Raw genomic sequence first — 14,986 nt, forward strand, 5'->3', positions numbered from 1 at the left:
TCAAGAGTTGAAACCCCAGACCCATAAAGAGGACAAATCCTCTTCCTCACGTCTAGCAAGAGAAGAAGAAACTCACCCCCAAAGACTCCCAACACAGAAATTTGTCACCTATTGTTCCGTAACAGACTTTAAAAAGGCACAGCCATGTGTCAGTTTGGAAGGAAAAGAAGCACTGACCTCCATTAAAAATATCTCCAAGTAAGTTAAAGTTGCTAATGCTTTCCTTTTCCTGAAACCATGTTGTATTGAAACAACATTTTCTTCTAAGCACTTTCACTTCTATCATCTCATGTTAAAATCCCCAGCCATTGTAGTGTGAGGTAGGGATGTCATGTTTTATCCCCATTTAATAGATGAGACTTCTTGAGGTGCAGAGAGATTAAGTGGCTCGCTTAAGGTCTGTGAGACATGTATGCAAGATGAGTACCCAAATCTCTATACTTCCAAACTCTTTCGCCTAGACCACACAAGATTGTATCAGCTGATGGGTTTTTTGGCCATTCTAGTTCACTGTAACTGACTCTGTCCATCTGTTGATCCATTAATCCATCTGTCCATCCACAAACTGTACCAGGCATTGTGCTTCAGATACAGAGATAAATAAGGGTCTTTGCCTTCACAGCTTAGTAGGAAAGATGGAAATAGAGATAAATAAATGATGGATACAAGTACATATATAGACAAGTTATGATGGGTATATGTGTGGGGAAGGGCCAGGATTGGAAACACAAAAAGAGCATGGTAAGTTCTTCCTTAGAAGGTCAGGGATGATGTCACAAAGGTGACATTTGAGCTGAATCTTATAGGTGTATGACCATCAGACACACAAGGGGTCGGGGGCATCCCAGGCGAGACACCAACTTGTGCAAAGGCATAAAATGTGGCCTATGCAGGGATGTTCTGGCATGTTTCGGGATGGTTTTAGAGAGTAATGAACCCAACGGGGGCACCCTGGCAGCATTGCTGAGCTAAAAGTAAAAGAAGATATTCTGTAATACTTGTGTGCACCCTTGTTCCTGGACTCATGCGACATCTCAATTCTCTGACTTTAGGCAGTGGTTTGGGTCTGACCCACACAATTTAGTCTTTGATTATGTACTCTTGCCTTATTCTGCCCATGTTTTCATCATTAGGCGTGGGCTCCCTAGTCTGACTGTAAACACTAATAACAGTACATTGTGAGTGCCAAGGGACTGCTTGGTGATTTTTAAATATTCAGAAATCAAGCAGTGAGCCCAAGAGAATATGAGCAGGATGTAGCACCATGAGAGGAAAAATATATGGACTTTAGTTCAGTTAGGTAAACCAGCACCATGCCAGGCATGGAGGGCACAGAAGTTGTTGACGTCAAAGAGCTTACAGTCTTGAGTGGAAGGTAGACAGGGAAGCTAGTAATCACAATTCAATAAGGACAAGAGTAACCTGTGGAACAAGTTCTGTGAGAGCTCAAATAGGGAACCATTAATTCTGCCTATTCTCACTCCAATATAAATTCCCAGGGCAGGGGATTTTGTGTGCCTTGTTTACTGTTGAATCCCCAATGTCTGGCACATAGTAGGTGTTCAATAAATATTTGCTGAATGAATTTATTGAAATTAATTCTTGAACTTGATTTATGATCATCAAGGATAAGTGGGGACAAGTGTTCCAGACAGAGAGAGAATAGCTTGGGCAAAGAAACATACATAGGTGCAAGTTTTAATTTGCCCAAATGTTGTTTCCCTAAATGTACTGCCAGAGAGTGTTCTTATAAAGTTTGGATATCATTGAGATTTCTGGATGGTGGCCTTTCTTTCTTTTCTTTTATTATTGTTTGTTTGTTTTTAAACTTTTGATTGAATTCTCCCCACACATTACTGTGCTCAGTGTCTTGAGAAGATTGACCATACTGGCACATTTTAACCAGGGCTTCTGTCAACTGATGTCCTTTTGAACCACCTGCATTAGGGTGCACATTGTTGCATCCTCTACCCTCATCCCTCTGTTGGAAACCATAGTGGCTATCAGGTAAAATTGGTCATAGGTAATGTGACCATGTGACCTGGTTTGCCATTACTGGTTTATGCCTGTTGTCTTGTTGTAATTATTAATAGAGACTCCTTGCACTCTCAAAAATATCTGGGTTTGCCCGAGAGAAGCATCAGTCAAGAAAAGTGGTTGATGTAGAAAGCCCCATTACCAGACATTGGGAGCACTAATTCAACACTTACTTAGCAGATATTTATTGAATGTGATTCTATTCTGGACACTTCAGGGACCCGTAAGTATGAACAAAACGTGGTCTCTCCTTTGCCCTTAATTCAAAGTGATGATTGTACATATCCTAGCTTTCTCGTGGTTATAAGAATAACACAGTAAATACTCTGTGAATATTTGTTGAATGATTATAATGAGTAAATGATGTATGTTATTTAACCTCTTTCTTAGTTTTCCTTATATGTCAATGCAGAGATAATAATAACAGTACCTACCTTATAGGATTGTTGTGAAACTAAGTGAGTAAATACATATAAAGAGCTAAGAGTAGTATCTGACACAGTAAATGCTCAATAGATAGCAGTATTGTCTGAAAGCACTTTGCAAACACAACAGAGCTACCTATAGCTTTCTGCAGCTTAAAAATGAGAAAAGCAGCGATTTGGAAGCTTTGTCTAGGAAAGGTTGCATTTGTTAATTTATTTAACTATCATTTATTATGAATCAGATATAAGCCCCATCCTCAAGGAGCTCAAGTGGGACAGACATGCAAAAGAAGACTATGAATCTACATACATTTATGTCATAAAACCATGTCCTATAAATTTGTGGGTTTTGTTAGAGGTCTGCTGGGTACCACTTTATAGACCATTCATTGACAGTTTCAGCAGAAGGGGTGGATGTTGATTGCTATTAATCAAGGAAGCAATGTGGTTAGATTGGAATTTAAGAAAGGTTACTGTGGCTGGTAGATGGTATTCATTTAAAACTGAAGGTAAAGATACGTTGATGGTAATAATTCAAGACAGGATCAAGATACCAGCTTTATTTTCCCAGCCCTCTCTCAGTATTTGTGAAACCTGTGTTGTCAAACTTGAGTGTTTCCATTGTTAATTGTTGTACTTCATGTTTCTATAAGTAAAGAATAATTAGCTGGGTGTGATGGCTCATGCCTGTAATCCCAGCACTTTGGGAGTCCAAAGTGGGCAGATCACCTGAGGTCAGGAGTTCGAGACCAGCCCGGCCAACTTGGTGAAACCCTGTCTCTACAATAAATAAATAAATAAATAAATAAATAAATAAATAAATTAGCTGGGCTTGATGGCAGGTGCCTGTAATCCCAGCTACTGGGGAGGCTGAGGTGAGATAATCTCCTGAACCCGGGAGGCAGAGGTTGCAGTGAGCCTAGATTGCACCATTGCACTCTATCCTGGGCGACGGAGTGAGACTCCATCTCAAAAATAAAAAAATAATAATAAAAAAAATTATTCGGAGGAAGATTAATTGTGAAGCATTCAGGTAGGTGAAAAGTGTGAGAGGAGTAAGCACTGTTATCCTGTATGCTTGGGAGGCCTCAGCAATGGAGACATTCCATTTGGGATTTCAGATAGCAATGACTGAATGCTTCAAAATGAAAATAACAGACAAGGAGGCTTGAGTTCAGTGGAAGTGCTCAGGGACTTGCCTAAGGTCACATAGCTAGTTTACGGCAGCATTGGTGCTCAAACCCGTCTTTTGACTCCCAGTTCACTTTTCTTTCATTATAGTATTATTTATACTAGACTAGATAAGTCCCTTTACTGATTGCTGAGTTCCTTAGGAACTGCGTGGGTGTGGGGTAGGCATTAATGAGGCCCACCCTTCCCCCAACTAGGAGAACAGCACTGTTCTATTTGTTTATATATTGAGGGTTTTCATAATATTTTGCTTAGAAAAAAGCACTTGCTATAAAAAAGAAAAAAAAGGTTGAAAATAAATCATCTGAAGCTACAAATTAGCTAAATAGCCTGATACTCCTGTAGTGTAAAACTATATAGTCTCCTTTTAAACTAATTTTATATTTATATAATATATAATTTTTACACACACACACACATACAGCCACACATATTAACTAATGTCACTGCCTATATAGATACTCTGTTAAGTACTTGCACTTCCTAGGGTTTTCCCAGAGACCTGGTTGTATAGATCTGAGAATATGGGCTACAATATCAGCAGTGCCTTCCTCTTTTCCATAGCTTTCACACCATCCAGACCTATTGGAGTTCTCTGTGACTAAGACTTTCCAGCTATGGAAGCACAAATTCAGGGGGCAAACCGTCACATTATTCACCAAATAAGGTTGTAGCCAGAGCATCCCCATCTCTATCAATAAAACAGTGCCTGTGTTGAAAGCTCATAGCATGAGCTCAATGGATTTGTTGAGTTTGAAGAGCAACTTCCACTTTCGAGTTTCTGATTTTAGTCACTTGAACATTTCTAAGAGGAATAATACCTTCCGTTGGTAGAGCTTTCTCACAACAGAAAAAAATGATTTTGTGGAAAGGTGGATTCCAAAAGTTTTTGAGTCATCCTTGGGATTCATCTACTCTTCATGTATTTCTAAGAGAGGCCATATCTCAGCCTGCCATATGAATATATTTATTTTACTTTAGCAAATATTTATTGAGCACCAACTATGACAGCCACTGTGCTCAGCTGGAGGGAAACAAAGACAAATAAGAACAGTCTTTGCTCTTGAGTACCTTGAAAACAGGTGGGAGAGACAGACCCGTAAACAACTGTGGTAATGCTCTGACATGAGTTCTGTGGAGTCAGAAAGAACAAGCTAGTATGAAAGCTCAGATAACAAAGAAGATCATTTTGCTTAGTGAGGCTGAGGCCTTGAAGGATGAATATGATTTTCCATACAGAGAAGGCATTCTAGATGGAAGAAATTACAGGCATAAAGACAAGTGTTGTGAGAGAATAGATGGTCATATCTAGAGCTGTGTATAGGGAAAGGAATGTCTTGGAGGTATCAGGAAACTTAAATAAAGACAAAATTTTAAAGAGCCTTGAATGCCGTACTGAATAATTGGCCTTGAAAAAAGCAATAAGGATCTTAGAAAGATTTTTAGGCAGGGGAGTAACAGAACATAGGGCAAACCATAAGAAATTGACCACGTTTGACTGCTTTTAACCTAAAAAACAATTTCATGTTTCAACCTAATAAAAAATAGTGAACATTTTTGAGTAAGTAGCAGCATGTTACACCCCACAATACATGCCTTACATGGATTATCTCATCTAATCCTCACAAGTTTAGGCATTATTGTTGTCCCCAGTTTAAATATGACACAAAATTCAGAGAGTATCTTTGGACTTAATCAAGGTCCTGGTCCCTGACTTTTAAAAGCCCATGGTTTTAATGATTTTAACCAACCATCTCCAGTTCTGCATTTTATTAAAATAGCTTGGTTAGGCACAGTGGTGCATGCCTGTAATCCCAGCACTTTGAGAGGCCAAGGCAGGAGGATCGCTTGAGCCCAGGAGTTTGAGACCAACCTGGGCAACATAGTGAGATCTTGTCTCTACTAAAAATAAAAATAAAAATTAGCTGGGTGTTGGGGAAAAGGCCTGTAGTCCCAGCTACTCAGGAGGCTGAGGTGGGAGGATGACTTAAGCCTGAGAGGTCCAGGCTGCAGTGAGCCATGATCATGCCACTGCACTCCAGCCTGGGTGACAGAGCAAGACCTTCTCTCAAAAAGAAAGAAAAAACAAAACCTCTCGTGACCAGACTGGGCATTAGAGGAACATGCTACTACCCCGGCTCTTTCTTTGAGGCAGATTTAAAAATCTTCTTCAAAAGCTTAATTTCCCTTTAGCCAGCATTATTACAGTGTAAAGTCAGTTGAAAATCTGAGTAAACCCTACTGAAAATGTTGTTTGCTAATTAAAAACTACTTATTTATAAACTCTGACATATTAGAACTGGCAGAGACTTCAGGAATCATCTAGTTTCATTTCTTATTTACTCAAGAAGGTTCTGGTCCAGAGAGGAGAAGTGGTTTGCCTGAGGTCATAGAATTACTAGTAGCAGAGATGAAACTGGCCTTGATGTCTCCTGGCTCTTCCTTTATGTTCCCTAGTGAATTAAAATGGATCTTACTTTCACAAACATGCACTAAGCACCTACTGTGTATAAGGCCCATTGTTCTAGGTATGTTCTTCTGTTCTCTTACACATGCAAATGTGTACAAATTCATGTTAGGTAGATGGTTCAGTTTGGCTAACTACTGACACTACGTCAAAGATATAGGGGGAATCTGTCTTTTAGCTATCCATATCATGGAATTGGCAAACATACATTGATAATAAATTTTTAATAGTGAAGATATCCATTAAGATTACTGTTCTAAGTCCTTGTGTGTTTTGTTTCCTTTTGCCCCAAGGTACCCATGTGCTAACAAATAATAAAGAAAAAATTTCAAGCAGGAGTTTTTACATTACTTGAGTTGTGAAACCTTGAAGATGATGTAAGCATTTCAAAATCCTTGAACAAGATGTAAGTTTTAATGGTATGCATAACATATATGACACACATTTACATTCATAGGATTTTTGAAGGCTAGCAAAATTTTTTGCAAGCATTCTTATTTCACTGACAATGGAAAAATCATCAATGTGATGATTATTTGATTATCCCACTGTCCATTTTATGGATAATGAAGTGGGCAAAGTAGGTATCAAATAATAAAATTAGTAAATACTCTTTATTCACTCTTCTCAGTAAGGGAGGAATAGCAAGTGGTTAGACTGAATAGTGAGTTCAATATCAATAACCCTTTTAAAATAACTTAAGTGTAATTTCTATAATGACCTAGGATTAATGATAACTTGGTTAAAAAAATGAAAAGTTATGTTTGTGAGTAATTTTAGGGAAGGACCAGGGCTTTTCTAGACACTCAAATTTTGTAGAAGCCTAGCATCATTGTGGTTACCTCATAATATCATAAAGGAAGGTTAACATGAAATAAGCACTTGTAGCAAATAAGGCTTTGGGTGTTGTAATGTTAAAACTTCTGTTCAAAAACCTTACATTAAAAAAGTACTCATCTTCATTAAAGATGTGATCCTTTTCACAGAGGTATTTTGAACTTCAAGCTGCTGTTGCTAAGGGGTTGCTACGGGAAATGAGCTACTCAGCATTAATGTGTAACTTTACTCTTCTGCTTAAAAGTAGTTAAATCATTTCCCCAGCTTTAGAGTCAGAGAGGGGAAGAACTAAAAAGGGTCAAGTGGAGAGTTGCCTCTTTCTGACAGTTATATAGCATGCCTCTCTTGTTTTTCACATTTTTTTATTTGCCTCTCATAGAGAAAGGAAGCATCCTTTCTGGGCATAAGAGGGTTGAAAACTAGACTACCAAGTAGGGCAGGGCTTATAATAAATGTAGAATGTCCCTGGCTAAGGCAGAAGGGAAGTGCCTGACCACTGAAAGAAAAGCAGCCGTGGGCTGTTGATCTAAGGCTTCTGCTGGTGACCAACCTCAGGAAAGGGCTTTTTATAATAAGTCAGCATTGAGGATGACTTGATAAAGAAAGTTATGTATTAGTGAATAGAGCATTGACCACCAAATAATTATATCCTAAGCAGTTGGTTCAAAAGTTTTTCTGAATTATTTGAAATCAATAATTTATATCTTTTCTTGAGTGCCCACCATATTCCAGGTACTGTTATTCCATGTGCTGGGGTTATAAGGCAAATAACGTACAATTTCTGCCATGCAAGCTCACAGTACAGTGTGAAAGTAACAATGAACTGGCTGGGTGCGGTGGCTCACGCCTGTAATCCCAGCACTTTGGGAGGCCGAGGCAGGTGGATCACCTGAGGTCGGGAGTTCAAGACCAGCCTGACCAACATGGAGAAATCCTGTCTCTATTAAAAATACAAAATTAGCCGGGCATGGTGGCGCATGCCTGTAATCTCAGCTACTTGGGAGGCTGAGGCAAGAGAATTGCTTGAACCAGGAAGGCAGAGGTTGCAGTGAGCCAAGATCACACCACTGCACTTCCAGCCTGGGTGACAGAGCGAAACTCCGCCTCAAAAAAAAAAAAAAAAAAAAGAAAGAAAAAGAAAGAAAGTAACAATGAACTATAATCCATTGAATGCAATCTGTAATTGAATTGTTTGAAAATTACTGAAGTCTGGAATTATGTTCTCAGTGGATTTTTAATAAATAAAATTTGGAAATATTTGTAAAGATTAATGCTTTGGGACTTTAGCAGACAATTTCATCTGAAGATCAGTCACTCTCTACACCACTTCCAAGCCTGGAGAATGGAATAGCACATGCACGAAATAATGTAGACAAAATGTTTCCCTTGTAATCCTCATAGGACCAAGGTTCTGTTATCACCTGGTGGCAGAATACAGAATTTACAGGCATAGATTATTTTGATTGTTACTGTTTTAAATGTCAATAGAAGTCAAAGACATTATTTTGAATGTTAGTTTTTGAGTATAGAGTAACACAGAAAATAAGACTTAAATATCTTTAGATTCACACTTTTCTGTGTAAGTTGGTATGTTATAGAGAAAAGACTGTGGACTGAGGTTGGGCATACGTAAGCATGAAACTTAAATTGGCCTCTTACTAGTTACATGATCTTGAGAAAATCAGTTAAATTATGTAATCTCTAGTTTTCTTATTGGAAATCTCAGAGTTGTGAGATTAAATGAGATTTATAGGCACAGCACCTACCATAATGTTCAACACACAGTGAATGTTCCGTCAATATTAATTCTGGTTCCTTTTATAAAGAACGTACTGAATAAGAGGTCTGCCCGCCCACAGTCGTCATATCATAACATCCCTCTGTTTATAGCTTTTAAAAATGGAGGAGGTTGGAATAGATTCAGAGGAGCCTTCATAGGGGTTCTGGCTAGGATGCGATGGCTGTCAGTATTTCTTTCCTTTCCCCCTACCCCACCTCTATTCTTATATGAAAAATATTCTGCATTTTCCTAGCCAATTCTTATCATTCTTTGGATCTCGCCTCAGTTCAGGCTTCTCCCACGAAGCCTTCCCCATCACTCCAGATCTCATCCTCATTATCAACTATCTCTAACACTTAATTTTGGTATTCTTTTTACATCCTTCCTTAGGCTATTAGGATTCATGCATAAAAAGGAAAGCTCCTTCCCAATCAGATTTTAAGCTCCTTGAAGGTGGGGACTATGACTTCTATTTCTTTTTATTGTTCACACCAATAATTTAGCACTGAACTTTGCTCACAAGATTAAGTAAATGTTGATTTGCAGCAGGCACTTTTTTATTAGAACTGGAACAGACCATTCAGCCTTTGTTAGTTATGATTTTCTTGTTATTCTCTAGTTGTTTTGAGAGTCTTTATATCATATCTTCCTCAACAAGACTGAATTATCCTGAAACTAATACAAATTTATGCATTTCCTCCCCATTCTACATATTAGTAATAATTGCTGCCATTTAGAGTGATGCCTCCACCAAGTTTTTTTTTTTTCTGGCAACAAACTATAAGTGAAGTATTATTGTGCCCATTTTACAGATGAGGAAATTGAGGCTTATGGAGCCTAACATATCATTTTTCCCTAAGGAGATGTTCAGCCACCCCTAGTTGAATCAAACAAAATGGGCCTTGGGATAGTACTTGAAGTGTTAATGAGTGGGACTATTGATCTTCGTTCATTCCCCATAACTCAGCACTACTTGGAAATAAGGACATATAACTTAATTCAACTACTGCTTGTTGAGCAACTACTGTATGTAAGGGGTTTTTTCAGGTTTAAAAGAGGAAAAACGGGTAGGGTTGGGGACCCAATCAGGTACTCATCCTGCTTTCTAAAATGCTTTGCTTTCCAGCTTTAATCTTTTGTATTTCTCCTATTCCAAATTTACAGCCTGATTATAATAATAGATTAAATGAGATATCTTGAGGACATACCTAGCTAAAAGCATGTCACAAAGAAATCTTTTTAAGAAAATTTTTTTAAAGAATATTTTTTAAATTTTTTAATCTTGCTATTTTTTAGTTGAGAAAAAATTGAGCATGACTTTCACCTTCCCTTTCCTTTCTCTTCTAGTCTGTGCCCATCTTTCTCACTGATTTCAACAAATATTTACTAAGGCTGGGCACAGAGGCTTATACCTATAATATTAGCACTTTGAGAGGCTGAGGCAGGAGGATCTCTTGAGGCCAGGAGTTCAAGACAAGGCTGGGCAAAATACTGAGACCCCTATCTCTACCAAAAAAGAAAAATTCTTAATTAATAAACACAAATATTTACTAAGCATATTCTTCTGTGACATAAAGGAAGAGATATCTTACTTTTAGATAAGGAAAACACATTTCTAGAAGTATGCTTAGATACTATAATTGTCACTACTGACAATTTACTGGGTTGAGTAAAATTGTGTATGTCAAGTGCCTAATACAGTGTTTGGTATACAGTAGACTCCCGGTAAAATATAGCGTTTTCATTTGTGCTTTAGAATTCCTGTTAATTTCATCCAGGTGCGGTGGCTCACGCCTGTAATCCCAGCACTTGGGGAGGCCGTGGCGGGCAGATCACGAGGTCAGGAGATTGAGACCATCCTGGCTAACACGGTGAAACCCTGCCTCTACTAAAAATACAAAAAATTAGCCGGGTGTGGTGGCGGGCACCAGTAGTCCCAGCTACTCAGGAGGCTGAGGCAGGAGAATGGCTGAACCTGGGAGGCGGAGCTTGCGGTGAGCCGAGATGGCGCCACTGCACTCCAGCCTGGGCGTCAAAGCGAGACTCCATCTCAAAAATAAAATAATAAAATAAAATAAAATAAAATAAAATAAAATAAAATAAAATAAAATAAAATAAAAACTCTGCCCTAACTGGCAAGTCAAAGAATTCCTGTTAATTTCGTTATTTCTTCTTCTCCTCCCTTTCTCCCCTCCCCTCCTCTCCCTTTGACCTTTTCTTCCTTCTTTCTCCTCCTCCTCCCTTCTTTTTCCATGGATGTACCTTCTTTGCCTTTTACATCTATTCCTTTATTATTAGTTACAGAATTATAAATGAGTCCAGAATTTTTTTAAATTCCATATCAAGTCATTTTCAAAAATTTATTAAACTGACCAAACACTATATCCTTTAATGGTATGAATAGCTACTCCATACTTTACCTGCTCGTGCACTTAGATTTATAAAAATTTATACATATACCAGGGTTGTTTGTTTGTTTCTTTGTTTTGGTTTTTTATTTTTAGTAAAGCTCATCTGAACTGATATGAAGAGGCCCCAAATCCCTTAATGCAGGGATCTTCAGAAATCTCTGTGTGTTTTCACATTGACCCTGCTGAGTTTTTTGGGGGTTATGATGAAGAATATATCAGGGAAAAGTCCAGACAGCCATTCCACCTAAATCAGATGCTTGGATAAATGTGTATTTACCTTTTTTTTTCAGAATTTTGTAAGTAAGATAGTTTTCCTGTACTTCAAATTTTCTTTCCCAGAAAGACATCCTAGTGCTTTAAGAGTATGGTCAAAGGCACATTTGAAAAAGTAAGCATACACTGACTCTGGAAAGGAAACTTTTACTTTCAGCTACTGTTCTTGCATAAGGCTTAGGAATATGAAGAGAAAGCAGGAAGATGAAGTATGAATCTACTCTTAGGTCCATTTACCTGCACAGGTGAACTCTTGGCGATTTAGACAGGTTAGACATCCATTTGTCACATTTCCCCCCACAGTAGCATTCTTCTAGCTTTCCCACAATCTGTAGTAGACAAAACTACTTAGGAAGGAGAAAGGCATTATTGACTATCAGGTCATATATCTCACAGAGAACATTCGACAGTGAATTTCTGATAGACTCCTTCACATCAGTCTGGTGCATCTTTCTTGCCTCTGTAGTATGTTTGCATTTTCCTATAAAAATTGATTTAATGTTTCTACATGATAAAGAAAAAAAAAAGACAGAAACCAACACCACAATTCAACAAAGGAAAATTAAGCTTTAAATTTTCTCAAAAGCTTTTACATATAGTATACCATTTTCTGGGCAGACTGATTGTATTTTTCCTAAAGAAGGAAATGCCAGCAGTCTAGGTTTATTTTTCAAGGGAAGAGGTAAAGGATGAAAATAAATTGAACCACAGGAAAATGTCAGGTCATAGTCACTGATGACGCTATTTAAATGGTGTGCTATAATCATATTAGGGCAGAGCACATGGAATTCCTGATTTCTGCATGACAGTGAAGAAGGGCCAGCAATTATCTATATGTGTGTGTGTGGATATGTGAGTGTCTGTTCACTCTACCTTCCCACCCCATTTTGCTAATTCAATTGAGGGGCAAGAAGAGGTAATCCAGACAGCCGGAACAGGAGGAAAAGGTCTGCAGCTGTGTTCGGAGGGACTGGTGTGAAGAGAGAGGCTCAGTCTGACTTGGAGTTTTGTGCTGTTGCACGTGAATGCTCTGGAACTGCCCTAATCGACTGAAAATGAGCCGGCTACAGTCATATGGAACAGGTCTGTTTAGCCACATCACTGGATAGCCTGGCAGATGGTAGACCGTCAATGGGTGGTATTGATTGGCTGGATTTGCCTTAGGGTAACAAGACTATGGGTCCTTAAAAACCCGCTTCATCTTATTTTCCTTTGTGCAGCTTCATACAGTAGTGGTTTTCTCTTCTCTCTCCCCCCAGTCCCCAGTATCCCCTTTTACCCTTTTCAAATTAAAAGTCTTCCTTGGTAATCAAAATAGAGAGGTTACCTTGAGATAAACACTCTTTAAATTAGCACCAAGGCAAGAAAACTTGAGAATATTTTATTTACTAGGCTGATTACATTTTAATGTTTGAAGAAAGTGACATTTTTTAATTAGTGTTTAAGACATATGGTGAGTGTACAAATTAGCTTATTTCATACAACCAGAATTTGATGAGAGCAACTCCTCCTTCTCACTCCCCAGTTAAAAATTGTCACTTGAAACTTAATATATGCAAGGAGGTTAAATGGTATTAAGTGATGCCGTCTTGACTTAAAGATGAAGGACATAGTCACTATTGTGTATGGCTAAATACGGCCTGGATGGGCTGGGAAAATATTACTGTCAACACCTGTGTTTGCAAGAAAATGTGGAGGTTCCAGACCTTTAATTTTGTCCAGCCAAGAAAAGAAAATCCCAGGTATCTGTGTGTGTTGGTTTCTGTTTTAGACACATGTGGAACATAGAATGGTGTTGCATGCTTTATAAGTAATAAGATCCTCCTTAAAATCAGGCCATATAACAATATAAGTGATGTAATTTATTTTTGTTCAGGTGGTTCTATATCCTTTTAACATACCCCCAATCACTTGGAGCTTTCAACTTGGGACATTCTGTTTATTCTTGGCAGAGGAGCAGATTAATTGGAATAGAGTGATACAAAGGAGATGCCAAGTTAGCTATACATCCAAAATAGTATACGACAGAAATGTTCCACTTCGAGGCAGATCTTCGGGAAAAAGAACAGCAATGGGTAGAGACATGTGATTGGCTTGCTCTTGTGGTTGTTTATCACTATTCATATAATTGTATTTTTAAAAGAGAGGCTTAATATTTTGTATTTTTTTTCGGTGTCTTTACTTTTAAGCTTTCAGTTATTTCTTATCAGGAAAGACCCACATTAAATAAACCTAATTTCTACCCAGAAGAAAAGTTGCACCCTTAAACTCTTGCCTCCATCTTGTATGTGCTTCATCCACATGCACACTTTTGAGTTTTCATCACTGTGTGTGAATATTTTTCTGTTTTTGCTAAAGAGAAATATTTTCATGAGGTTTTTGGCCTTCCCCATTGCTCTGTGTTGATTGTATTTTCCTTGTTCATCCTTTGCTGAATGAAACAAAGCTTGTTTGTGTTTCATTCTTCGCAGTTCTTATTAGAATTTGTGGCAGTGTTTTGTTTTGTTTTGTTTCATTTCCTTGCTTTAAGTCAAGAGAAGGAATTTTATTTATTTATTTTGACAAGATATAGTGAGAGACAATCTTGCCTGTTAAGATGCTAGTGTTTCTCATGTCACATTTTACACCCAAAAGCTATTCCAAGGGGAAAAAAAAAAGAAATCTTTTAAGATGGTTCATTTGAATCTGTGCACTCTACCCACCTGGTGGTTATATAGTGAACTGTTACTTTAAAGAGTAGTTTAAACACCAGCCATGTTTGGGGCAGGCTGCTCTTGCAAAGAGAGCAGTACATATAACAGGAGTCTACTGTGTGTGAGATAAGGGGAAAATTCAGCTCACTGACTAGAGGTTTTAATGTACGAACTCTAGGGAAATAATATATTGACTGTTCCGTGGTGCGCAAGAAAATTGAAGAACCCTTTGCAGACGGAGTGCTTTGCAAAGGATTCTATCTGTTTCTCTTAAAACAAAATCTGTGGCAAGATGTTTGAAATCAGCAGGACGCTTAATGCTGCTTTGTTAAATAATGAGGTAATATTTTGTCACTTTTTTCTGGGCAGCATCTGTTTTTCCCCCCTCTTCTTTTTTTTCCCTATATTTATGAAGGATTCCTTTTTTTCCGCCTCATGGAAGTCAAGGAAATACAATTCACGCTTCCATTTCTGTTCCTTCCTTTTGGTGCTTTTGGAGAATTTGGTTGTCTTTTTTTATTTGCAGTTTCAGCCGGCTGCTGTTTCCTAGCCCATTGTGCCACGTAAGGCTTCTCCACTGCGCGGAGTAGGTAGTTATTAACGCTGAATTGGCTTCTGGTACAGTCCATCTGGACTCTGTGTGGGAAAGCTGGCTGCCGGCGACTGATGCTGAGATATCTGCAACCTTTGGGATGTGTGCATGGTGGCAAGGGGCTGACTGATATGAGATTACTTCTTTTAAGGGAAATTGTCATTAATGAGTCAAGAAACTGCTCATTTATGGTAAGAGGAATACAGCGGCGCTGGCAGCCCCACAGTGCTGGGATATCATTTTTAGGTTGCCTTAGCTGCTTGAGTGAGACAAGTTTCTT

The 14,986-nt window shown here is 38.3% G+C and overlaps 1 protein-coding gene across 13 annotated transcripts in view; it reads left to right on the forward strand.

Moving 5' to 3' along the window:
• The window catches only part of ELAVL4 (ELAV like RNA binding protein 4), a 155,718-nt gene that overhangs the window by 43,442 nt on the left and 97,290 nt on the right, over positions 1 to 14,986 (forward strand). For 4 of the 13 annotated variants that reach the window (NM_001438735.1, NM_001144775.3, XM_011540890.3 and 1 more), the window contains exon 1: positions 14,735 to 14,897. The exons of 3 other annotated variants lie outside the window; for them this stretch is intronic. In NM_001438735.1, coding sequence (NP_001425664.1) covers positions 14,781 to 14,897 — 117 coding nt within the window. In that variant the 5' untranslated portion in view covers positions 14,735 to 14,780. Of the gene's footprint in view, positions 1 to 12,412; positions 12,505 to 14,191; positions 14,455 to 14,734; positions 14,898 to 14,986 lie in introns of those variants that run through there. 6 more of the 13 variants (NM_001438736.1, NM_001144776.3, NM_001438740.1 and 3 more) reach the window with 2 other exon arrangements.

This window comes from Homo sapiens, chromosome 1, assembly GCF_000001405.40.
Source record: "Homo sapiens chromosome 1, GRCh38.p14 Primary Assembly".
NCBI lineage: Eukaryota > Metazoa > Chordata > Mammalia > Primates > Hominidae > Homo > Homo sapiens.